This window comes from Homo sapiens, chromosome 20, assembly GCF_000001405.40.
Source record: "Homo sapiens chromosome 20, GRCh38.p14 Primary Assembly".
NCBI classification, from domain to species: Eukaryota; Metazoa; Chordata; class Mammalia; order Primates; family Hominidae; genus Homo; species Homo sapiens.
The window spans coordinates 10,655,267-10,679,477 of NC_000020.11; the positions used below are offsets into that span (position 1 = coordinate 10,655,267).

The following is a 24,211-nucleotide window of genomic DNA, read 5'->3' on the forward strand; positions in this document are numbered from 1 at the left end:
CAAAGTCATGTGGCCAGCTTGTCAAATGCAGACTCCTGGGCCAAACCAAGGACTAGGATTCTATGGATGTGGGACGGAGCCCACGAACCTGCATTTTAACAGCTCCCTTGTTAATTCTGGAAGTTACACTTTGAGTACTGAGGTCTGGGGGCAGTGATTGCTGATGGTTCCATCAGCAGCATCGCTTGGGAGCTTGTTAGAAATGCAGAAACCTGGGCTCAGCCCAGACCTATAGAATCAGGACCTGCGTTTTAATAAGAGCCCCAAATAACATTAGTTTGGGACATACTGGTTTAGACTATGTTTCATAAGATTCCCTTTACTCATGTCAGAGTAGCTTTGGGGGCAAAAGTGACAGGCTCAAAGGATCCATTTAGCGTTACTCCTTAAAATTTGGGAGGAGGGAGAGCAAAGCATTAAGACTGCCAAAAACACCACAGACACCAACAATATTTCCCAAAATAAGCCTTTTCCAAACGGGCGTAATATAAATTTCAAGAAGTTCCAAAACCCGCCATCGTGAAGTGGTCAGGGCAGGCCTCCCTTTGGCTTCCGCATTGTTCCTGGACCATAAAGGAACAGACTTCAAAGGACTGCAGCAAAAGTCTACATTCATCAGGCTCAACTGACAAGATTCCAGGGCAGCCATTAACCTCTCAGCACCAACCCAGCTCCCGCCTGCAAAGGGGCCAGGAGATTGGACTAATCCCATTCTAAAGAATGCTGGACTTTCGCCTATTGATGGGAAAAGTCGGGGAGGGGGCTGGGAGAAGAAAGCCTTGGTGGAAGAGGAGAGAGACGCAAAGAAACAAGCCCACATCCCTCCATCTAGCCCATCAGCACTATAAGGGAAGATTATAAAAATGTGTTATCAATTTACAGAACAGTTAATACATGAAGTCACTGGCTATGCCCAAAGAGTTTCTTTTTATTCCAAGAGAGAAGTGGTGTGTGCATTCCACCAGACAGCTGGTATAATTTAATAAGCTTCGGATGTGTCTATCTGAATTTTTTTTTTAAAAAAGCTTTCTTGTTCTCCAAGGAAAAAAGAGGCATAGTCACAATAAAGTCAGTTCCTCTCTTACATAAAGGAAAATTAAAAGAAATCTCACAAAAGACCAGTTGATTTACCTGCAGTCACCTGGGAGTTTGCAAGACCCATGCTTAGGACTGCAGCCTTGTCGGCAAATAGCTGTAAAAAACAGAGAAGGGCGTGTCAGCACACTGCCTGTTCCTTGCATCGCCCCGGTCATGAGAATGGCCCATTGCATTAAAGTCTGCAAATTCCACGATTTTAACAGGTCTCATATCAAGTCCCTTGTAAGGAGAGGAAGATGGGAGGGGCCCAAATAACAAAACCAGCTTTAAACTTCAAGGCCTTGTTAGCAGATTCTGAAAACATGATATTGTTTGGGGACAAAATGCAGACAAGTTGACGAGGGAAGGGGGACCTTCGTCCAGCCTCTCTAAACCACAGCTACCCTGGCTCCTTGAGCAGAGCTTGGTCAGTTTCCATTCTGCCCACACCCTTTTCATTAGAAGAAAAAAAGGTATAGATAATCCTTCCCCATCCCACCAGGACACATTCAGATGAGCCTCAGCCTTTAAAAAAAAAAAAAAAAAAAAAAACAACCCATACCAAATGCCTGGTTTGAAAATTCCATGGGACTAACAGAGCCAGCCAGGCTGGACTCATTGGGCAGGCTAATCTGGTGGCCAGATCTGGTGAGACTTTTATAAAGTATCCTTGCAGAGCAATTCTCTACTTCGTTTAAAAAAAAGAAAAAAGTAACTTCTAAAAAATGTCAGTTTCTAAGACCAGGCAACAGTGGCCCATGCCTATAATCCCAACACTTTGGGAGATTGAGGCAGAAGGATAGCTTGAGGCCAGGAGTTCGAGACCAGCCTCAACAACATAGCAAGACTATGTCTACACAAAATAAAAAAGCTGGGTGTGGTGGCATGTGCCTATAGTCCCAGCTACTTGGGAGGCTGAGGCAGGAGGATCACTTGAACCCAGGAGTTCAAGGCTCCAGTGAGCCATGATTGTGCCATCATGGGTGACAAAGTGAGCACCTTATCTTAAAAAAAAAAAAAAACACCAAACAAAAAACCCACACTAAGTGTTAGGTCGTTTAATTTTTAAAACACACTAAAATATGTTAATGAATTCCCCTTTTCATTTGAATTCCAGAAATGCCATCCTTTTTAAACTCTTCTCTCCAATTATTTAAGAAAGCAGTAGTACTACCCGGGAGAGCTGTAAATTCCTTCCCCCATGACCCACCCCTCTCTCATGGTTGAAAAACTCACTTTGAAATTGAGTCTATCAAAACAATTTACCTAATTATCATGTAAAATAAGCAGAGTACATTATTGCTCATGAGGGGATATTATACAGTTAACAGAATTACCCATCAAGTTGCTATGAATTGGAATCACTGAATTCTATAAAGGGACTGGGACAGTAGACAGCACAGAGACTAAAAGTGGGCCCACTCCTACACCAATAGGAAAGCTTGAGCTAACCACATACCTCTCCCCATCAAAGCCATGCCCCCAAAGACACCTAGTGAAAACTTGCTGCAAGGCTACCCTGAATGCAGGGGCTATCATTTCCTATAGGATAGCCTGTTCAGACAACAACTGGGCTGACCTAGTCCTGTCTGGATCTATTTTGGGTCAAGTTCCTTAGAAGCAGAGTCTGAGAAGGGGATCTGGACATAGGTAGAAGGAATTGAGGGAAGCAGATGGGGTAGGGGAAAGAGCTGAGCAAGAACATGGTCTCAACTGGAGTCTGATTTCAGCCTAATCCCAGGGTAAGCTCTAGAGTGCAAATTGTACTACTGTTTTAAGGCAAAGGAAGCTGGGCTTTGTAGCCCTATGTCTGTCAATCACTGACTGTGAGCTGGAGGAATGGGGCATGCACTGGTTTGGCCAAGGACGAGTCTCCTGAGAAGGAGCAGCTGTGAGCTGTTGGCAGCCAACACAGCACCTGGGGGATGGGGATGCCAGTAAAGGGGATCTGGATGGGGCACCAACAGCATCTTCTACACTCCGCATCTTCATACTGCAGGCCCAGAATAACAGCCAAAATCCCACCCCACCTGAGATAGCCGCATGCCACCTGCCTGCTGGTGGGGTGATAAATGGACACTAAAAGCAACAGGCACACGTGCACATGCACACACACACACATACCTCTGTTACATTCGGGGCCCATCCAGCCTTCCATGCAAGTTTTGTTGCCATTCTGGTCACAGGCATAGTGTCCAAAGAAGTCATCTCTGGGGCGGCAGAACTTATTGCAGCCAAAGCCATAGTAGTAGTCATCACAGGTCACGCGGATCTGATACTCAAAGTGGGCAACGCCCGTGTTCTGCTTCAGCGTCTGCCACTGCCGGCTGGGGTTGATCATGCCCGAGTGAGAAGCCTTTTCAATAATACTGTCAGGTTCTAGAGACAAAGTGATGAATCATGTTAATATTCACATTGCAGCCTTCTTCCCTGACCATTTTGGCTTTTTAAAATAAAAACATATGCACCTGCTACAAAATTCTATCTGTTGTAAAAAAGGCAAAGAAATGAAAAGTTTATGCCCCTACCCAGAGACAACCTGTTACCACTTGTTTACCTTCTTTAATGGGTACACAGTATTTCATTGTCTGGAAACACCAATAAATAATTTACCTAGTCCCTGACATGTGTGCATGTGAGTCGTTTGGGCTTCTTACTATTAAACAAAGCCACAGTGAGCATTCCTTGAACGTATCTGCCTGTGTATGGTTCCCACAATGAGATACTCTAGAAATGGAAGTGCTGAATCAGAGTCCGTGCACAACAAATCAACCTCTGTCCACAGTCTCAAACTACCAGTCTGTCCTCCCACCACCCAGGAAGCTGTGTTTCCCAATAACACTGCCAACGTTGTACATTATCAAACCTTCTAATCTATGCCTGATAGGTAAAGAGGTATCTCATTTAATTAGCATTTAACTAAGTGATGGCAAGAGCCCTTTCTGGTAGTTACAAAACCATTTATATTTGTTCCTGTGAACAGCAACAGCTTCTCTTCTCTGCCAACTTTTCTATTACATTGCCATACTGACTTGCAAGTGCTCTTTACATATGAGAGACAGTAGCTCCCTATGGAATGTTGCTCTTGAAGAAATTTCATTATTCCAGATAAAGGTCAGCAATCATTTCTGGTTTTAGGGTTTTATGTCTTGCTCAGAAAAGCTTTTTGTCCATTTCAAAACTCTTAACTGGAAGCCAAGGAGACGATTAAGTTACTTTTTTTTTTTTTTTTTTTTTTTTTTTTACAATTGTTAACATGGCAACCTTTAAAGCCAGCTCTTAAATACCAAGACCTTGAACTTGATGCATTCCACCTTTCTCCTCTGCCCAGAAGGCAGATGGGAGAATAATTCACCAAAGTTTAGACACAGGTAAATTGAGGGGAGGGTTTCTTTTTTCTTTTTGTTTTTTTGAGCCAAGTCATGCTCCTGAAAAAAAATGCTTACTGAGGATAATAAACACCTCGAGCTCAAGCAGCTCTCAGGAGTATGTAGTCCCTGCCCTGAGGCCACTTATCATCTAGTTTGAGAAGAGACAGGTACAAAAATAGCTCAAACATCAGGTGCCAGCAGTTCAGGGGAGGGATCTGAAAAGGCAGCAAGGCACTAAATCAGCACCCCAACCTGGTTTTGTGTTTGTTTTCTTAAACCTGCCAGCACCAACTCTTCATCACCTTGTCAAATTCAAGACCATCTTGGAGAGACAGTTAGGACTGACTTGCAATGTCTTTGTGATTCTTACCCACCCACATGGCTGTTTTTCTAGGCCTCGGGCCAGTGCTCCTTTAAAAAGTGATGCAAGCCCTATAAGTGACCAGGAGAGAAGGGACTCCTGGGTGGCTTCATCCACACACCGCTTCCAACAGGGCCCCAGCGTTCGCCCTCTAGGGCTCTCAAACTGCTGCGTGGGCAAGACAAGCCTTGAACAAGCTCACATACCTGCAGCCTGACACCCCGGCACGCACTGAACCACTTGCAGGCAGGTAACACTTTACTCGTTTTTGCAAATAAACAGAGGCCAAGGAATGACAAAAATGTCTCTCCATTAACTATGTTTGCTCTGCTGGTTCAGTTAAAAAGCATAGTGGGCTATTACCACGCGCTTACAAGATCTTCATAAAAGGGATCGGTTAAACACACTAGCCATGGCTTAAAGGCATCCAGCTTCTGAGGCTGGTATCAACAACAAACAGTTTAGACAAGAGTCCAGGGCAATCCTAGGGGTGCAGGACTGATATGTACTTTTCAGTCATGCAGTAAGCTTTCCACTTATTTCCGGGAAGTGTCGTGCAGAGGATCACTTCAGAATCCTCAGTGGAGCTATGGAGCTGCATACATAATTTCACACCTGCTCAGGGAGGGGGTCGAGCATGTCTGGGTTCAAATACGTCTGCTGCCTGCTTCCTGATCACGCTTTCCTTCAGCTTGGGGCACTGGAAAGGAATCTGTGGCAGTTCGTTTGGCAGTCCAGCCTTGTGACTGGAAAAGGACATCACCATGCCTCCCTGCAATCCCCAGTGCCACGAAGATGAGTCACGAAGAAGCCATGACCGCCTCGCAGGCCAAGGAGGAGGTGATGAAGGGCGAGTCTGAGCATAACCTGGGACCACACCGACCCAAAAACCTGGAAGGGGGCCTTAGCCGAGAAAGCTAAGCTACAGGGAAAACCTGGTCTGAAGTGTGCCTATTTATGTTTACATGTTTATTATGCATTACAGTAAACTGAAACCATTTGCTCTAGGGGAGAAAGAAATTTGGAACTCTATATACCACAGTCCCAAAATGTAATAAAAGACTTTGGAGGACCGATGACAGAAGGACCAGCCTTAAATACTTTCAAATACATAAACAGCACCTAGGCTATATTTGGGCCCGAGTCTGCCTGTGAGGGCTCACTGCAGAGCTGATAGAAGGAATTCTCTGCCCTAAAACTCAGGGCTCTGCCTTTGATTTACATCTGAAGCCAGAATGTTTACAACTCGCTTGGGTCCCACAGGGCAGCCAACTCCGTTTGGGCTTCTGAACATCCTCAGCTTCTGCCCTGTGGAGTGCAGTCCAGAGGGAGTGGCTGAGGGTGAAGAAAGGAACAAAACACTCCAAGTAGCATAAACAGCATGTGCAAAGGTCCTGAGGCCAGAAAGCATGTGATGTAGTTGAGGATAGGAAGGCAACTGCTAGGGTATGGCCAGGCTACAGATACGATGGACAACACGGTGTGTAAGACAAGGCTGGCAGGGAGACAAAGCTGGGCTGCACAGAGCCTTGTGGGCCACATGAAGATCTGTCCCAAGAGCAACAGAAGGCCACCAAGTGGTTGGTTTTTCATAATAAGGGTGACAAGCAAATGTTATGGCTCTGAAAAGACCAGGATGGCAGAAGAATGGAGAAAGCACTAGAGGTGAGTCAGAGCAGATAAAGGTGGACCAGACGAAGGCTACTCTAAGTTCAGTCATGAGCAGATGGTGACTTGGACCAGGGCAGTGGCAGAAGGCAGGCAGATTCAAGTGAAGAGCTGGAGAGATTTTTCAGAACTTGGAGGTGGACTAGGTATGGATGCTAACAGAGAGGGGGTACACAGATCGCCTTCTATATTTCTGGCTTATGGCAATGAGTGTTCAAATATCGGTGCCAGACACCCAGAAGGGGCCCTGGGAAGGGACTGCTTTTGGCAAGAGAAGATCCTGAGTTTGGTTTTGACTGTGCTGAATTCAAGATTCCTTGGAAGCATCATAAAAGAGGCCAAATAGGCAAGTGGAGAAACCATTTCCACCAAACCCATCTCCCTCTTCAGGGTTCACCAAGTGAGTTTTGATAACCTGCAATGGGCACCCTTGAGGTTTAAAAGAACTTTATTCCTACCTCAGTCTTTCTTGTCCTCTTCCAGGGATTTGATTACCCCCCCAGGAGATGAAACATCCTAGAACCCCAAAATCGGGCTACCTGGAAATGCAGACAACTGTGGGTAGCTCTGGACAAGCCCTGGGTTCCCAGGGGACATAACTCCCTGACCTGCGAGGTGACAGGAGGTCCAGGAAAGGTGCTGTGAATGCTGCAGTGTGGCGGGGAGGTCTCTCACATGTCCCTAACAAGTATACTGACCTGGCTCTTATCACAGGCCAGGATCAACCTCAAGCTGTTCACTCTACCGGGTGGATTGTTTCAATAGCTAAAAGGGAGGGGAAAGAACACCATGTCGACACCATACTATTACAGAAGAGCCTATGTCTCCCCCCTCCTCAACCCCTTCTGCCTAACGCTTAGTTACCATTGTAAGCAGGTCACAGTGACATAATGTTCACAGTCCTCAACGTTTGTGGCAGGGAGGGGAGAACAAACAGGTGTCTATGACCCTGACTGGCATCAGCCATAGCCAAGGCTGACAGAGCTTCCCTGCCACCCCCACACACACCCCCCCACGGCATTACAGGGTAGCCCTCTGGGGAGGAAGACTCGAACCTTGGACTTTCATGAGCTCCCCCTCCAGGGAGGATGACATCCAAAAAGCTGGACTTAAGATTCCCAAGCTAGAAGAGTGACCCAAATGGCCTGGGACTCTCTGGCACATCGGAGCTCAGCAATGATTCTGTGGCTCCAAGTAGCCCAATAAGCCAGCCACAGGTGGAAGCTGCCCACGTAGCAGGCACCAAGCCCTCACTGCACCCACGGTGTGCATTCACCATTTTCTGTCAGCAAAAAAAAGCAAGGCAAGGAAAGATGAAAATATATTATTCACAGTGAAAGCAAACAAAAAAAAATGGTAAGATAGAAAAGCAAAAAGTACAAGGCATTCAGAGAACAGAGAGCCAAGACAAGAAGCTGGATCCACTCTTCCTCATGCACAGACCAAGAGATTTCAGTGAGCATCAAGTTTTCCAGCGACCGCAACCCAAACTCTGCTGGCAAAAAGGGAACTTGAAGTTTCGGCTCGTGAGCGAAAACACTGTAAAGTTACAATTAAAGAGCAAGACTACTTTGTAAGCCAGACTATGTCATTTCAATCACATCCTCCATGGCTTATCCACCAAAACCAACCCCTCAGTCCTGAAAGGCAACCTGCACTGAAAACAGAGCCATCTTTCAGAAAGGGACAAGGCAGGTAATGGCTGTGAAGCTCTGGAATTGCGCTTCAATGAAAGGTTTGTGGAGCAGTGTGGGAAACCCGGAGAGACTAGAAGCTCACCTGCCCACCAAGTGAAATTCAAGGTCGGTCTCTAGAGCCCAGCACCACCTTTATGGCTTTATCTTTCTGATGAGAGATTAAACACTCACTTAAAGTTTAAATGGACTTTTAAAAAGTCACTACTTTGATCCTTTAGCAGACTACAAGGTTTTAAAGTTGTAAAACCATTAAGATCTCTATCCCGAAGATAATCTAGGTTTCATAATCAGGGAATGAGTTAACTGGGATTCTGTTCTGGCCACTTAATATTCCAAGCAAAAATCCTAGAAAAGTTAAGGAATACATTCCACTGAAGGTTCACCCTGGGGTACAGGGGAGAACAGAAGGCAAGAGGTGGCAGAAATGCTAAGTACTAAGGAGACAGATCCAGCTCCAACTGGTTGGCCAAGCCCCACACTTCCACGTGTGTTTAGAGAAAAGTCCACAGAAGCGATACTTACGAACGGTGTCATTACTGGAATCCCACGCCTCCACAAGCAACGTATAGGACCTCTGCAAGACAAACAAACAATTTAGCAATTCAGAAACAGGGTCGACTTTCCAAAATCTCGTACATTCTTGGCCTCCCAGAATACCCCACCAAACAAAACCATAATGCCAAAATAAAAATTCTGTTGGTTGTTGCATTGAGTTCCTGGATGTTTAAATCCAAACCAACTCCCCTTCCTTTGTCAGCACTCTTCCCAGGTTGACAAATGACTCCTTTCACCTGGCAGGGACGCACTGGAGTCAACATGCATGCAGGCAGCTCAAAGTTGAGATCAGGAAATGCCACCTCACTATATGATATGAGAGTATTTAGCATATAGTTTCCCAAAACTTTCCAGACCCTGACCCTAGTGCATGAGGAAACACACACACACACACACACACACACACACACACACACAAAGAATTTATTCTAAGCTAACCTAACCAGGTATTTGTACCGAGGGGGTATTGCTAAGGTTACACTTTGGGCCCTGGTGAGGCAGTCTCTAGGGAGGCCCCCTTTTCCTTTTTAGAACCCCTTTGAAAACTCTGTCTATGTGAGACCATCCTGGCTCCCACAAGTATCGGGTAACTCTAGGAAACAGGAGGGGGTAGATGCAAAGTGACTCTGCAAGACAAAGAAGTCAACCTCACTTGGGCGGTGGAGTTGGGGGCAGATCCCAGGGAAGAAAGTACAAAGGGAGAAACAACCGCACACCCATGGGTTATATTTATTGATGAACTTATCTGTTAATAAGATCTAACATTCCAAGAATAATCAGAGTCTACTAACTAAACAAATTCCCTGGATACTGGCAAGATGCCAGCTGTTAAACTGAAGGCACCTTTTATCTTCCAAGCTTATCTCAGAATTCCACCTCCCCACCCCCAGCCAAACCTAAGCTATTAGCAAATTCCCTCCTTTTCTAAAATTTTCCTTCGTAATTTACAGTAAGGTCAGTCTCACAAAACACCAGCGTTTAAATGAAGCTTCTGCTATCTTGGCACTGAAGAAATGTACTCAAGGCAGGTGGGGTAGACAAGGAACATGAACTAGGTTATGAATCCCTGCTTTGCTGTGTCAGAAACCAAGCCATAGGAAATAGAAGCGTGTATAGATTAAATAATACCGTGCTGTGCCACCAGAAGCACACTGCTGCCAAGAGAAGAGAAAGCACCTATAAGATAAAGGAAAAAGAGAAAAAGGGAGGGTAAAAGGGAGTTTCATTCATAACTCAAGGCCAGCTTAGCGCTCTCAGAGTGACACAGCAGGTCATCTCTGAATATAAAAATATCTTGTGATAGACCCTGCCTTGGAATTCAGCCGAAATATGTTTCATACTCAAAGCAGAGTAGGATTCCATTTCGTTCACTGATAACTGTGGGAAAATGCTCAGAAAAGCAAGCAAAACCGGGCAAGCCAGGGCACATACCCAGCCCTCTCCTGTTAGTGGCCACAGGTCCAAATTCATTGCTGTTGTTACTATTTTATTAGCGAAAGTTATACCTTATTTACTGCCTCTTTAAGTTTCTTAGGACTTCCTGCAAATTACAGGACTCTTCCCTAAGAGCAGCAAGAAATTATATTTCTCTACTGATTTGAGGTAAGAGCACAGTCAAAATGAGGCCAGATGTGTGGCTGATTCTGTATAATTAAGCCCTTCATTTGCTGGTCACGTTGAGGCCCACGTCCTCCACTTCAACAGTATTGTTGTAATTAATCCTCTGATTAAATGCATTGATACCAGGAGTTTTGACAGACTTGCACAAGCGCTAAACACATAATACCCACAAACCCCACTGCAAGGGAAGGTGCCGGGACTGAGCTGGCATGGCAGTACTAACTCAGTTTAATACTCAAAGAGGAAAGCATCCTTAGGTCTTGCACAAGAACTTGGACGACCAAGCAGTCTACCAGGCTCATCCTCGCCAGAACTGGGAAAACCTCAGAAGTTGCTGACCGACATCACCCCACCTGGAGAGAAAAGAATTGCACACAGCCCTACGTGCCTGGCTCTGTGATTTTCCATGAACTGCCCTTCTTTCTCAGAGGCAGAGACAGGGTGAGGGCAGGGAGCTACAGTGACGGCAACAAAGCCTGGACTTTTTTTCCTGTCTGTTTCAGGGAGGGGATTAGGGTCTCCTGGGGCAGGAGGATTCCTCCTGCCCAGCCCTACAGAGAAAAAGGATTCCCTCCAAGGTTCCTATTAGGAGGCACTCAACCTCCCACTCCATCCCCACACTATAGATCAGCAATCAAGATAATTTAACAATGATTATTAGTTGCTAGAGAACTTTAATTTTTCCCAGGCCCACACTTGACCTCTGTACATCCCTGAACATACACCCAGGCACTGAGATCCCAGATCATGCACCCCACATCAAAGCAGGGACCAGGCCACAGAGCAGCAAATCCACTATGCCGAAGTCACATACAAGCAGCCACTGCAACTCTGACCCCCAGTAGAGGCGGAGTCCTCCATCCCAGGAGGGCTTGGAAAGGCAAGTGTTCAAACTTAAGTTTATACAGCAAAACAACAACAACAAAAGCAAATACCTGGGTTTTTCTTGATTTCAGACTACAGAACTAAGACTCTGCCGAAGAGTCACCTGGCTTTCATCTTTCCTTATGTTTTCCAGAACAGTACTGTGAAGGCCACACAGGAAGGAGGGGTAGCAAACAGATCTTTAGTCTGGATTTGCAAAGTGAGTCACTTCAGCCCCTTCCCAGCTCCAAGCCCAAGGAAATCTGGAAACCTGGCAGCTGGTTCCCATTCTGGTGTGGCATCAAAGAGGAATGGTCAGCCTTCGGAATTGCTTTTTGGAAGATTTCTGTGGAATTCTACCTAGAGGAGAGTCCTGGCATCAAAGCCCCAAGGCATCCAAGGGCCACCAGGTTCCCAGCAAGGCTGGGGCCCCTGCACCTCCTCCCGCCCTCCACACTTAGGCTGCTGTGCCAAGGTTGTGTTCTCTGCCCTGTCCCACTCCATGGCGGTTACCTTGGCACTGGGCAGAGCGGTAAGCACTTAATTGCCACATTAAGAAGGGGGGATGTAAGAAACAAAGGTAATTGTGTTGGCAGCCGGGAGCTTCCTTTTCCTGGCAACAGTGACAGCCAAACCAAGCCCTGAGAAGCGGCTGCCTCCCCTCCTGCCAAGCTGACGGACACAAATAAACCGCCATCCAAACGGCACGCGTGCGGCGTCCAAAACCCCAGGCTGCTGCGACAGGCAGGCCCGCCGGCGGCACGCACATCCTGGGAATGCCCGACGTGCCAACGCGGCCATTGTGCACAGTCAGTCGGCTCCCAGGGTTCGTCAGGGGCCCTGAGCTCTGCTGACTCAACTGTTGCTTCCTGTCGCTTGTCCTGTGTTAGCATTATTTTTGGAGAGGCCCTATTATTCTCCATAATCCTCATTTCAGTCAATTCGGCCAACTCTATTGTCCTGCCTGTGTCTGGGTGGCCAGAGTATAAAATATTCCAGTCACAAAACATATTAAGCAGAAAAGGTTGCAGGGAGTCCATGTGTGGCGCATGCACACGTACTCATGCACACAATGCGAGTGGGTTTTGGGAAAGTGAGATAAGAAAGGACAACTATCCTATAGCATCTAGGCTAAGACTTCAGGCACAGAAAGCAATCAAGTCTGTAGGGCTTGACATGTCAATAGAGTCCGATCTGGTTACAAAGGGTGATTTTCTCATCAAAGCCCACTCAAAGGCTCACCAAGGGGCCCCAAAGCTCATATCCAGATTTGTGACTCTCAATGAGACATCCCCACCCCCTTTCCCATCATTACCCTTACCTGTTTGAAAAGCATCCCACTGATAATTAAATGCACCAGTTACAAAAGGGTGGCGAGGTTAATAGATAGAATACCAAGAAGCCAGCCAAGCACAACGGTCTGGTTCACACAGAGCAAGCCTGAACAAGAAGCCTTTCTGTTTATTTACCAAAAGTGCATAAAAACTGGGTTGAGCTGGTAGAGGACTCTGCATGTTTGACTATTTATGTACTCCTTTAACTACTGGGAGCCACCTTGCGGAATTTCTTCCCAGCACACGCACTGCACCAATGGTAGATGTCACTGGCACCATAAAAAAAAAAAAAAAAAAAAAAAACAGCAGTCACAGGGCTGCTGTGGTCCATGCGGTAATCAGAAATCAGCAAAGAAGTCACAACACAGCCACCCAGTGCCATGCACCAAAGTAAAGGTGGGATTTTTCTGAACCCAGGACCCTCCTCCATTTCCACCACCATTTTAGAATCACCACTTTCCATTCATCCCAATGTATCTTCCAACAGTTGGAAGAAAAGATTAAGTTTTGAGAGATATATATATATTTAAAAGCTGAAGCCAAGAGTCACTTCTCTCAGCAGCCTAGATCCTAGGCTTGAAGGATGGGGGTAGGTGGAAGAGCAACATGCCTTACAGAAGTTTACCATGGAAGAATTTGCAGGAGTATTTGCATTTATGGATTACAACGCTAATTGTATGCACATCCAGAGATCATGCATTCTTACATTGTCACTAACCTTGAAAGCCGGACATTGGGACCAACTTCTGGCCCTTCTACAATGGGGCCAGTGGGTGATATGAATCCAGCCAAGGCCTCTGGTTCACATTCCTGTTTTCAGATCAGGAACTGTGAAGGCTCCTTGTTACCTTGACACTGTTTTTTTTTTTTTAAGTAACTTTTTTCTCCATGCTAAACTTTCCACGTCTTCTATCTAAAAGGTCCCCAAAGGCACCACTATTTGGTGTGAAGATTTTGAGCAGCACTTAGATTGCTGATTTTCTGGGAGGTTGCATGCCTGTAAGTTGCTGCTGACTCTCCTTTTAACCCACTGAACTCCCCCAAGAGCCTCCACGCCAAAGTTTCACCGTTTTCTAAAAACATCTTAAGTCCCTGTAGAATTACGGGTGTGGAACTGGTGGGTTGCAAATTCCTATAAGTACTGGAGGTTTGAATAAGTTGCTAAGAAACAAGACAACAAGGAGAAAGAAAACACAGAAGGTTACACCTGCAAGAGAAAAAAAAATTAGAAACCAAGTACCTGGAATAAAGATTCCATTTTTGGAGCAGCTATTCTGCAGATACTTAGCACAGCTCTTTCAAAGCAAGCACAGCTTCACTTTCCCCCAAGCCCAGTGTTGCAACACAGATACATCACTTCATCCCTTTGGTTTGAGGTAGACTTCTTAGGGCAAAAGGCGTTTTCTCCACATGCAGAAAGTCCCTTGCTCTGAGCACATACGTACACACATGCTCTTTCTTTGTATACATGCTGACTACACGGGCAGGATGCAAATCCTGGCTGCAGAAAGGAGGCAGGTCAAATCAGAACCCCATCCTTAAGCCCTCCATGTGCCCACACCATATCTACAGAAGCTCAGGGACTGGAAAAGACAGCAAAAGGCATAAAAGTAAGGGCCTGTCAATTACATTCTGTGATTAGCATCGTGGCAATTGGTCATTCAGGCCTGAAGCATGAAGGGGGCCAAAGCTGGCATCCCTCACACAGAAGAATCACGTTTCATTGGATTTTCCAAAAAAAAAAAAAAAAAAAAAAAAAAAAAAAAAAAAAAAAAGTTGATCTCAGCAAGTCTTTTAATAGGATCAATGGAATTTAAATATGAGGCTAATAAGCCAGATACCCCAATTTCTTCCCCTAACGTTTCTCTAGATTCATTTCACTCTGGGGCCACCGATGCAGCAATACAGCTAACTGGGGTTCTGAAGTTCCCAAAAAGCTTTTGGAGATGAGTAGTGGTAATTACACTAATGTATTTTTAATAAGCAGGCACTACTGGGATTTAGCACTAATTTTGGGAGGTACAGATTAACCGTTTCAGTGATTTATAAGTGGTAATTCCTAAATTATTTCCTGTTAAGCCCAATTACTTCCCACAATAATGGTTCTTATCACTTGGTCCCCCAATTTGAGAATCATTAATCCAGATAGTTGCTGCAAGTTAAGCCCCTTAGAGCAGCAACAGTATGAGAATTAGAAGCCAGTGGTGAAAAACTACCCCAAGACCAGAGCCGGGGCAGGGGACACCACGTGGGACATACTCAGATATGATATATGACAGGAAGGGCCACCTCTACAAAGCCTTTCACATGCACACCAGAACATGGACTGTATTTCATATCTGACCAAATCGTTTCCTCCTCGTCCTCTCTAGAACATGAACAGTTGCTTGGATAGGGGTCATAATTCCAAACAAAAAGCATGAACTACATGACCTTCTACACTGACCTACCCCTGCACCCTTTGCTGATACCCAGCGTCAGCAAATTTGGGAGGACTCATGCAAATGGTAATTGTGCCTGCTAGGGGTTGGGAGCCCAAGGTGGTTTGGAGTTTTGTTTTGTTTTTAACCATATATCCTTTTCTTGCTATCTCTTGAATTCTGTACTAAGTTCATTTATTTCCCATTCAAGGAAATCAGTTTTAAAAGACATAGTTAATTGCCAAACTAAATGAAGCTGTGCCCTCTAGTTAAATACTCGCTCAGCTACTTAAGTGTTTCAGTTACGTTTCTACTCAGCCTGGAATCATTCTTGAAAGTTACGGACTGTGCCGTTTCTCCAACCACATACAGAAAAACAAATACACCTAAACTCCAATTTCTCTTGAGAATTAAATCTTATGTTTCACAGCAGGCCTTTCTGGGGCATCAGGGTGGAGACTTGTTTATGAGTGATACATGCGTTTGTCCCAACTTCAAAAGAACCACATTTTCAGTGGTGCCCCATCGGTCTTCCCCCATTCGAGAAAAGCCGAGAGTCTATTTCATGGTTGGTGACCCGTGGGGCCTGAAACCACAGAAGAGCACCAGCAAATGCAAATCAATCGCCTCTCCTACCCTCCCACACTATTTCCGCTCGTTTTCCATTGAGGACTCTGACCAAGTGTCAAAAGCGGACAGACGCACTTTTCTAGGTCACTTTTCCTTGGCCAGCGAGGGAGCAAGCCTCCTTGTTTTCATGTTAGCCATCCCTCTGACCCTACTCTCCAAAATGAGCCTCAGCCAGGCTGCTGCTTTTCCACATCACTAATAAGATTCCTTTTATGGTCTTGTGAAAAGCGAGGGGCTCCAGACAGATCCTCCGGCAGGAGGGTGGAACCACCTGCAGGCCCCTTCCCCCTAAACTCCAAACACACGTTCAAGGGCAGTTTGAGTATTCACAGTCAGCTTGGGCCAGCCAGATTTAAACGCAGCCAGACTCTTTAGCTTAAAGTTCTCCCTAATAGGGGATTAACAAACAAGATAAATACTCTTGGTAAAAATGAAATCCCACAACAGAAACAGCCCTTGGACCTCAAGAGAGCTTCACAGACAGCGTTGGTTTTAATTTTTCTTTTTATAAACCCCTTTTCATGGCAGTTTTTGATAACTGTCTTATCTCACCCACAGCAGAGGGCACTTTATAATGCCAGCTCCTGTAATCGTGGATTTTAAGAGCCACCCCAAGCTTCATACACAGACACAGCCAGATAGTCTCCCCTCTGTCTCCTCCCAGAATCACAACCTAAGCCGGCGGACAGGAGGCAGCAGAGTGCACCCCATTAGAGCACGTGGTGGAAAGCAATGCTCTGGGGCACCGAGCTCCCCCTCTCACCACCCACCCTCCCAGCACAGGCTAGGCCAAGCCCCAGTCTTGGCAATGAGTCATGCCTCCTGGACAGCAGGAGCCAGGCAGAGGGCACACCCCCAACATTTCCCTTTCCTCCCCTTCTGCAATCGCACCCATCTTCCTTCCACCCATTTTGGGATGTTGCAAGGGCCTCGCTGCAGGATCTGCCAGCTGGGCCCGGGCCTCGAGCTCCTTTGGGGGCGGAATGGGGCGGGGGGATGAGGGCCTATCACTTACACCCTCAGGCACTACCTCCAGAAGACCACCCCTTCCAAGCCTTGGCACGGCCCCCGAAGGCTTGCGGGGGCCGTGCACCCGCCCTTCCCGGGGAAGTCTGCAAACACAGCTGTTCCAGAGCCCGGGAACCGCTGGAAGTGAGGCCACAAGAGCTACACCACTCGGGGGCGGGGGCAGGAAGGGGCCAGCAGCGGGCGGGGGTTCCCAGGTCTACAGCTCCTGTGAGGGCCCCAAGAACCTCCTCCTGCGGCGGCCGCCCCCGGCCCTTAAGCCGAACCTGGAGAGCGCCCCCGCACACACTAAAATCTCCCGGGGAGCAGCGGGAAACGGACTCCCCCACACCCTCCAGGAAGGACACACCCGCCCTCCCGGCCGTTCACGGGAAAGGGGAGGTTGCCAATTTGGACGGCGTTCGCAGGCCAGAACTGCGCCGAGTCGCCTTCCACGGCGCACCAGGTTTAATTAGTTAAGCAAAGAGATCAGCTACAACGATCTCTTGGCTTGGGGCCGGGAGAGTTACTCTGGGAACTTCAAGTTGCAAGTTTACACCGGCCTTCCTAGGAGCCTGGTCCCATAAACCCTCTGGGATCCCCACTTTTGTGCACTAAGCAAATAGCAGCAGGAATGGGACCCACCTCGACTACCCCAGCCGAGATCTAACTATAGTGTCCCGGCTCCCTCACCCGCCACCCCTAGAGATTTCCCCAGTTAGCGCCTAGTTTCAAGCCAAAGCCCTTTAAATCCCTCTCGCAAGGGATAACAGGGCTCGGCCAGGCGCGGGTGTGAGGCTCCGCCCGGCCTCCTTCCCGAGTAGTCACTCACCGGCCAGGCGAAACTGAAAGGCAGCACGATGCGGTTGCGGTCGTTGCCGCGGCTGGCCTTGAGGTTGAAGGTGTTGCCCCCGATGACAGGCGTGGACCCTGAGCCGAAGCTGCAGGGCCCCCCGGCCGTGACGCGGGACTGATACTCCTTGAGGCACACTTTGAAGTATGTGTCACACTCGTCGCGGGTGCACTTGCGGTCTCCCGGGTTCCGGGCGCCGCCGCAGCAGTTCCCGTTCTGCAGCTCCCCGTTCACGTTCTGCATGGACAGGATCTCCAACTCGAACTGACCCGAGGCCCCACACACCTGCCGGCGAGGGAAGGAGGTAGGTCAGCGCGGGAGAAAGCTGTTTTCTTCGAGTATAGAGGTGGCGACTCCCTCCCACTCCCCGCCCCGACGAGCCCTCCTCGCCGAGTGAAAATAATTTTGCGAAACTACGTTCAAGGACTCAACATGATTCCGGGGCAAAAAAAAAAAAAAATGCACGAGTGCGGAAGAAATCCGACGACTTCCCGGGGGGCAACAGCGGAGCGAACGCGCCCCTGTCCGGCCTGGAGGGGTCACCCTCAGGAGGCAGGGGCTCCCGTGGGGGAGTTGGCGCGCTCAGCCCAGGTGCAGCCGCTCGGGCGCAGGGGCGAGGAGTCGGGCGCTCGAGGGCTGCCGAGCCTGCTCGCGGGGCTCAACCGCCCAGGGCGCCGCGAGGGGAGGGAGAGGACGGCTGGGAGGGAGGCCCGGAGAAGGGCTCCTACCTTGGCTCGCAGGGCACAGAGCAGGGCGAGCAGGAGGCTTAGGGGGCGCCCGGACCGGCCGCGCGTCCGTGGGGAACGCATCGCTGCGCCGCGCGCCGCGGGCACTCGGGACGCCGCCGCTGCTGTTCGCGCTGGTGCTGCCGCCGGTGCTGCCGTCGCCGCTGCCCCTGCGGCCGCCGCGTCCCGGCTCTAATATACTCCGCCGATTGGAGCATGCACGACTGGAAAACAACACCACTTTTCAAAAGCCCTTTCAAGAGCGGCCCGTTCCAGAAGGCAAAGAGCCCGGCCTCCTTTTATTATTCTGATCGCTTCTTTGAGACGCTCCCCCTCCTCTTCCACCTCCCGGCTTTCTTTCCTTCTCTCGCGCTCCCCTTCTTTTATTATTATGATTATGCGCAGCCTTTTATTCCCTTTTAGATCAGCTGCATGGAAAAAGGGGGGAGGGAGGGGAGAAAAAAAAAAACCAGCCTAGCTCGCGGGCCGGCCGCAGGTAACACAATGACGCGTGCCCGCCCGGCTCTCGGAGAAGGACCCGGAGAGCCCGTCTGGCAGCAGCGGCCGGGGCTGGCCACCTCTACCCAGCACGCCGGGCAGGGCGCATGCGCGCTTATTAATATTCATGAGAGGGCGTGCTCACCCTGGGCACGCCCCTCCCCTTCACGTTGCTGGGGAGGGGGTAGTGCGAGGAGGAACTTGGAAGGGGTTGGGGGCAGCGGGATGCTCAGGGCGGCGTAGAAGAACCAGGGCCCCACACCAACCCCCGCCCTCGGGAGCTTCGGGCCAGGAGGGAAGGGAGAGTGCGGGGAGGTACTTGGAAGGGATCGTTGCTCAGGGACGCCTGGAGGCCCCCAGCGGGGACCGCCCCCTCGGGCGCCCCGGGCCGTGCGCCTTTGCCCGCGCGTCGGGGCCCCAGGTGTAGGCGCCGCGGCGCTGACTGAGCGGTCGGAGCGGGGCAGCTTCCGCCTTCCGAACCGCCTGCGTCAGCTGCGGCTTTCGCCCCGGGAGGAGGGCCTGCCTGCCCGCCGGGAGTTCGGCCCGCTTCCCGCGAGCGAGCCGCCCAGAGCGCTCTGCTGGCGGCAGAGGCGGCGGCGAGGCTGGCGCGCTTGCCGCCGTCTGCTCGCCCCGCGGAGGCGACCTGGGCAGACGCTGCTGGGAACTTTGAAAAACTTTCCTGGAGCCAGGCTTGCCGCAGATTCGAGGGGAAGCCTCGGCCGCGTCCCACCCCCTCCCAAATCCGAGTCTGCGGAGCCTGGGAGGGCTCCCAGCTTCCTATCCAAACCGCGCCGGGGCAGAGGCGCGGGGAAACCGGGGGTAGAAGGCGGCGGGCACGCCGGGGCCCTGTTCAGGCTTTGGGAAGGGCCGGCGGAGATGCTGGTGGGCTTGGACGCCCTCCCCGGCCCGACGCCCCGGCCGCAGTGCCGGGATTGCACCTGTAGGCGGCCTCCGAGCAGCTCTCTGGGTGGCAAGAGATGGGCCTGGGAGGGACCGTGTCCCCAGCACCGCCAGCCGCGGAACTTGCCTTCTCTGGGGTGGCAGTGGAAACCGATACTGTTTTCCACCTTGAGGCAAGCCTCGCAATTAACAGCTACACTCCTGGTCATAATCAAGGTCGAAGAAAGCCCGTGGGCTGGCCGTAGCCTCTGCTAACCCCTCTCCCACGGGCTTGCTGTTGCATTTGAGGGGACCTTTATATGGAAACATCGACTTCCTTTGAAGGGTGGACAAAGTTTTGGCCCTAATAGTAGGTATGTCCTGCAGAAAAGCGTGACTATTCAGCGGCCGGTTTGGGGCTTGAGTTCTCCTGGGTGTGGGGCGTGATGGGCTGGCAATAGGTCAAGGGAAAATAGTTTCCAACATGCTGAGTTATGAGCATAAAAGGGTGGGTATTTGTGGTTATCTACTTATTGCATTTGATGGGAGGCTCAGTATGAACAATATTTTCAGTGCCAAATCTCATCATTCTGAGGAATAAACTAGGGCAGCTAACTGACCTCTTTACATAGGTTCAAAGCTACCAAGGATGGTTAGGAGTCTTGGCATTTTAACAGCCTAAGAAATGCTCCTAAGAAAAGTGCTTACTTAGTGGTAATGTGTCCCATCTTGAGCACTGGCGGGAGAATCCATGTTTTGGAAGGGAGGTTTCTAAGAACAGAGCAAGTTTACAGCTGGTCATGTTAGCAGCTGGGGTAGGCAGCGACAACCTGGGTGTTTCAATGTGCCCCAGCCTCCCTTTCCCCAATTATCCTAAATCAAGGCAACCAGTTGTCAACTGTAATCCCATCTACACTTTTCTCACTGAGGTTTCCATCAACACCAGTCTCCCCACTTATCTGTCCCGTTCTAATTTCTACTCCCAAGTATCCCTGAGTTTGGGTGCTAAATAACGGTTTAAAAGTAAAATGGGCCGCGAGCTGTGGGTCACGCCTGCAATCCCAGCACTCTGGGAGGCCGAGGCGGGTGGATCACGAGGTCAAGAGATTGAGACCATCCTGGTCAACATGGTGAAACCCGGTCTCTACTACAAATACAAAAATTAGCTGGGCGTGGTGGCACATACCTGTAGTCCCAGCTACTCGGGAGGCTGAGAGAGGAGAATAGCTTCAACCTGGGAGGCGGAGGTTGCAGTGAGCTGAGATCATGCCACTGCACTCCAGCCTGGCGACAGAGCGAGACTCCATCTCAAAAAAAAAAAAAAAAAAAAAAAAGGCAAAATGGTGCTGAAAAAGGCTGGTGTGATCTTAAAGAGCACACTCCTTGGAGTTCCCTATGTCGGACCCTGTTTTAATTCTGTGCCTTGTGCCCCCCACAGCTCTCAGGAAAGAGGCTGCGGAGCCAGACCTTTAGTTAAAGTGTTTAGATCTCCACCTGGCTTCACCTAGAAGGGCTACCTGAGATTGCAGGTGCCACCAGTTGCAATCTGGGCCACATGCAAGCTGGTGTCACCTCCAGTCCACCAGTGAATTTAGCCCATTTGACTGATAGGAAAGAAAATATAAACTCTGAGAGGTGAAAACTACCTGATTACACCTAACAAGAATGTCAAATCACTGATAAACACAAAATTTTTATGTCACATAGCACAGAGTCCCACACCCTTCCTGAGCCTGGGAACCCACTTTTAGAGAAGGCAGTTGTGGGCTAGAGGGAATTCTTTTGAAAATTTTCAGTTGGGGCTCTTCCAAATAATTGGGACTCCCCCAAAAAGCCAGTCACGTTTACCACAACAGACACTGAGTGGAAGCTCTATCCTCTGCTTCCTTGAAGCCGGTTGTCAGGCCCCCTCCTTAGAGAATGAGGAACTGCTGCCGAGAGAACTGAAATACAGAGATTCCCCCTTGGCAGGGCTTGTCCTGCTTTGGGGTATAGCCTCCAAGTGTAAATGAATATTCCAGAACAACCTTCCTGTGGAAAATGCCATCTTTAGCTGTCATACCTACACCTGAGAGAAGGGGAGAGGCTTGTAGTCAGTTACTATCTGACCTGTCTCGTGTGCTCAAACATCATCCTTGGATATCTTTTCCTTTAATTCTAAAAAGATGATGGATGCCTCATTTTTTCTTTTCCCAGAAAACTTGCCCCACTTTTATCTAGTCAACAACATATAGCAGTTCTGAACCTGCAAAAGCTTTATAAGAGACATTCAAGCTATATTAGCTGTATTTAAGTACATCTAATCAACTGTAATCCTTGGTTAATCAACACTGTGGTTAAAATAAGCTAATCAATATTTATTGAGAACTGCTATTATAAGCAGTAACATCGATGATCTAAAAAATATTATGTTAAGTGAAATAAGCCAGACACAAAAGACTACATCCTGTATGAATTTATTTATACGGAGTTCCAGAACAGGAAAAACTGGTGAAAAAAGATCACAAGAGTGATTTTGAGGGTGGGTGGGTGGGAGCAGAGCTTCACTGGGATGGGCTTGAGGCTCTTCTGGTGGCATTGTGGGGTAATGTTTCATATTTTTGATAGGTGTTTGGGCTACACAGGTGTATGCATTTGTCAAAATTTATTAAATAGTACATTTAAGATTGTATTTCATTAGGTGTTCAAAAGAGGAAAAAAGAATTGTGAACAGATATTCACCTCCAGTTATATGAGTGCTGAAGCATTTAGCGGGGAAGTGGAATGATATCTGCAACTGACACTGAAATGCATACAAAATTAGAGGGATCAGAGAGGATGGCTGGGTGGGTGGTTACACGCTGAAGCAAAATAGTAAAGTCTTTTTTTGTTTTTTTGAGACAGAGCCTGTTGTCCAGGCTGGAGCGCAGTGGCACAGTCTTGGCTCACTGCAATCTCCGCCTCCCAGGTTCAGGTGATTCTCCTGTTTCAGCCTCCCGAGCAGCTGGGATTAGATGCATGCCATCATACACGGCTAATTTTTGTATTTTTTAGTAGAGATGGGGTTTCACCATGTTGACCATGGCTGCTTTAAAACTCCTGACCTCAGATGATCCTCCTGCCTTGGCCACCCAAAGTGCTGGGATTACAGGCATAAGCCACAGCGCCCAGCCAGTAAAGTCTTAATGGTAGAATTTAGGTGTTACAGTGGTGTTCACTGCAAAATTCTTCGACATTTTTCTATGTTTGAAAATTTTCCTTCTTAAATCTTGGGGAAGATAGTTATTGATTTGCCAGGTATTTTGTGGGTGCCAAGAATATGGTGGGCAACACCACAATACTGGTCTTCAGCACTACTGAGTGGAGAGTGTGTTTCAAAGGAATGGTGATACTGTAGATTTTAAGAGTGAATGAGGCTGGGAGCGGTGGCTGACGCCTCTAATCCCAGCACTTTGGGAGGCCAAGGCGGGCGGATTACCTGAGGTCAGGAGTTCGAGAACAGCCTCAACATGGAGAAACCCCGTCTCTACTAAAAATACAAAATTAGCCAGGCGTGGTGGTGCATGCCTGTAATCCCAGCTACTCAGGAGGCTGAGGCAGGAGAATTGCTTGAACCTGGGAGGCAGAGGTTGCGGTGAGCCGAGATGAGATGGCACCATTGCACTCCAGCCTGGGCAACAAGAGCGAAACTCCATCTCAAAAAAAAAAAAAAAAAAAAAAAAAAAGAGTGAACGAAAGGAAAGTAGTTCTTTCTTCCCATTCTTCATTCCAGTTAGGTTCAAATTGTAGAGAAGGCACATGTAAAATATCCATTAAGATCTTCCTTATTCCTTGTTTGAACTTGCAGAGATGTTAACACAAGTTCACAAATCCTGTTCCACGGATATGTTATCTTTCTGCCCCTTTCCAGCAGAGCCCAGTGAAGCTCACATGTCCCGCCAGGTTACTGCCTCCCATGAACCTGTCCAGCCAGCTCCCTAAGGAAGCACAACATCATTCTCCCACATCACAAGATATTCTACATGGAAAAAAACCCACCACCAACCTATAGATAACAGACACTGAAAATCAGGGTATAGTTGTAGCAACCACAACCAGGCCACAAGTTTGCTCATTCAAGCATAAGTTGAGTAGATCCAGCTATTTTTTTCCCAAAGATTCATCATATGTACACAAGAGATCTGGATTAATTTTTTGAAACCAGAACTGTGAATTTTTTTGTATTATCAACAGTGATTTTGTATGAGCGCATGTTAAACATTGTCTTGGTTTTATCTTGAGCCCAGGTAGTTATGATTTTGTCCTCCCTGCCCCAATCCTGTTTCATAGTCATTATGTGGAAAACCATCAGGATGAATAGAATTATGTGTCCACATACCCTTTACCAAACCAATCACAGAAAGTCGCCAAAAAACTTACATGCAAAATCTCAGAACTACGAGACTAATATTTACATTTTACTCCTTAGTTAAAATCAAATGTTCTTTGTGAAGCTAGAGTGTGGGAGAAGTCCTACGTACAAAATGTACTTTTTTCTTAGAGTTCAGTCTTTTCAGGGAAAAAAAAAATTCTGCGTGTAAGTTGCTGTTAAATTGGCATTCTCAAAACAACTGTAAATGATTCACATATCCTCCTTTTTTTTGGCACTGATACAGTGAGTCGTCTGTTCTTGTGA

The 24,211-nt window shown here is 48.2% G+C and overlaps 1 protein-coding gene across 1 annotated transcript in view, besides 3 other annotated features; it reads right to left on the reverse strand.

Annotated features, from left to right (window-relative positions):
• Window positions 1-18,733, reverse strand: part of JAG1 (jagged canonical Notch ligand 1) — a 36,316-nt gene extending 17,583 nt beyond the window's left edge. The window contains exons 1-5 of the mRNA NM_000214.3: window positions 18,184-18,733; window positions 17,435-17,740; window positions 8,697-8,748; window positions 3,202-3,456; window positions 1,132-1,192 (exon numbers count right to left, since the gene is read on the reverse strand). Of these exons, the coding sequence (NP_000205.1) occupies window positions 1,132-1,192; window positions 3,202-3,456; window positions 8,697-8,748; window positions 17,435-17,740; window positions 18,184-18,264 (755 nt within the window). The 5' untranslated portion in view covers window positions 18,265-18,733. The remainder of the gene's footprint in view (window positions 1-1,131; window positions 1,193-3,201; window positions 3,457-8,696; window positions 8,749-17,434; window positions 17,741-18,183) is intronic.
• Window positions 15,376-15,425: a silencer, noted in NCBI's record as "silent region_12673". NCBI's record gives its function as "represses an Ori minimal core promoter by ATAC-STARR-seq in GM12878 lymphoblastoid cells {active_cell/tissue: GM12878}" and the evidence as "EXISTENCE:reporter gene assay evidence [ECO:0000049][PMID:35858748]".
• Window positions 15,476-15,525: a silencer, noted in NCBI's record as "silent region_12674". NCBI's record gives its function as "represses an Ori minimal core promoter by ATAC-STARR-seq in GM12878 lymphoblastoid cells {active_cell/tissue: GM12878}" and the evidence as "EXISTENCE:reporter gene assay evidence [ECO:0000049][PMID:35858748]".
• Window positions 18,956-19,355: a silencer, noted in NCBI's record as "silent region_12675". NCBI's record gives its function as "represses an Ori minimal core promoter by ATAC-STARR-seq in GM12878 lymphoblastoid cells {active_cell/tissue: GM12878}" and the evidence as "EXISTENCE:reporter gene assay evidence [ECO:0000049][PMID:35858748]".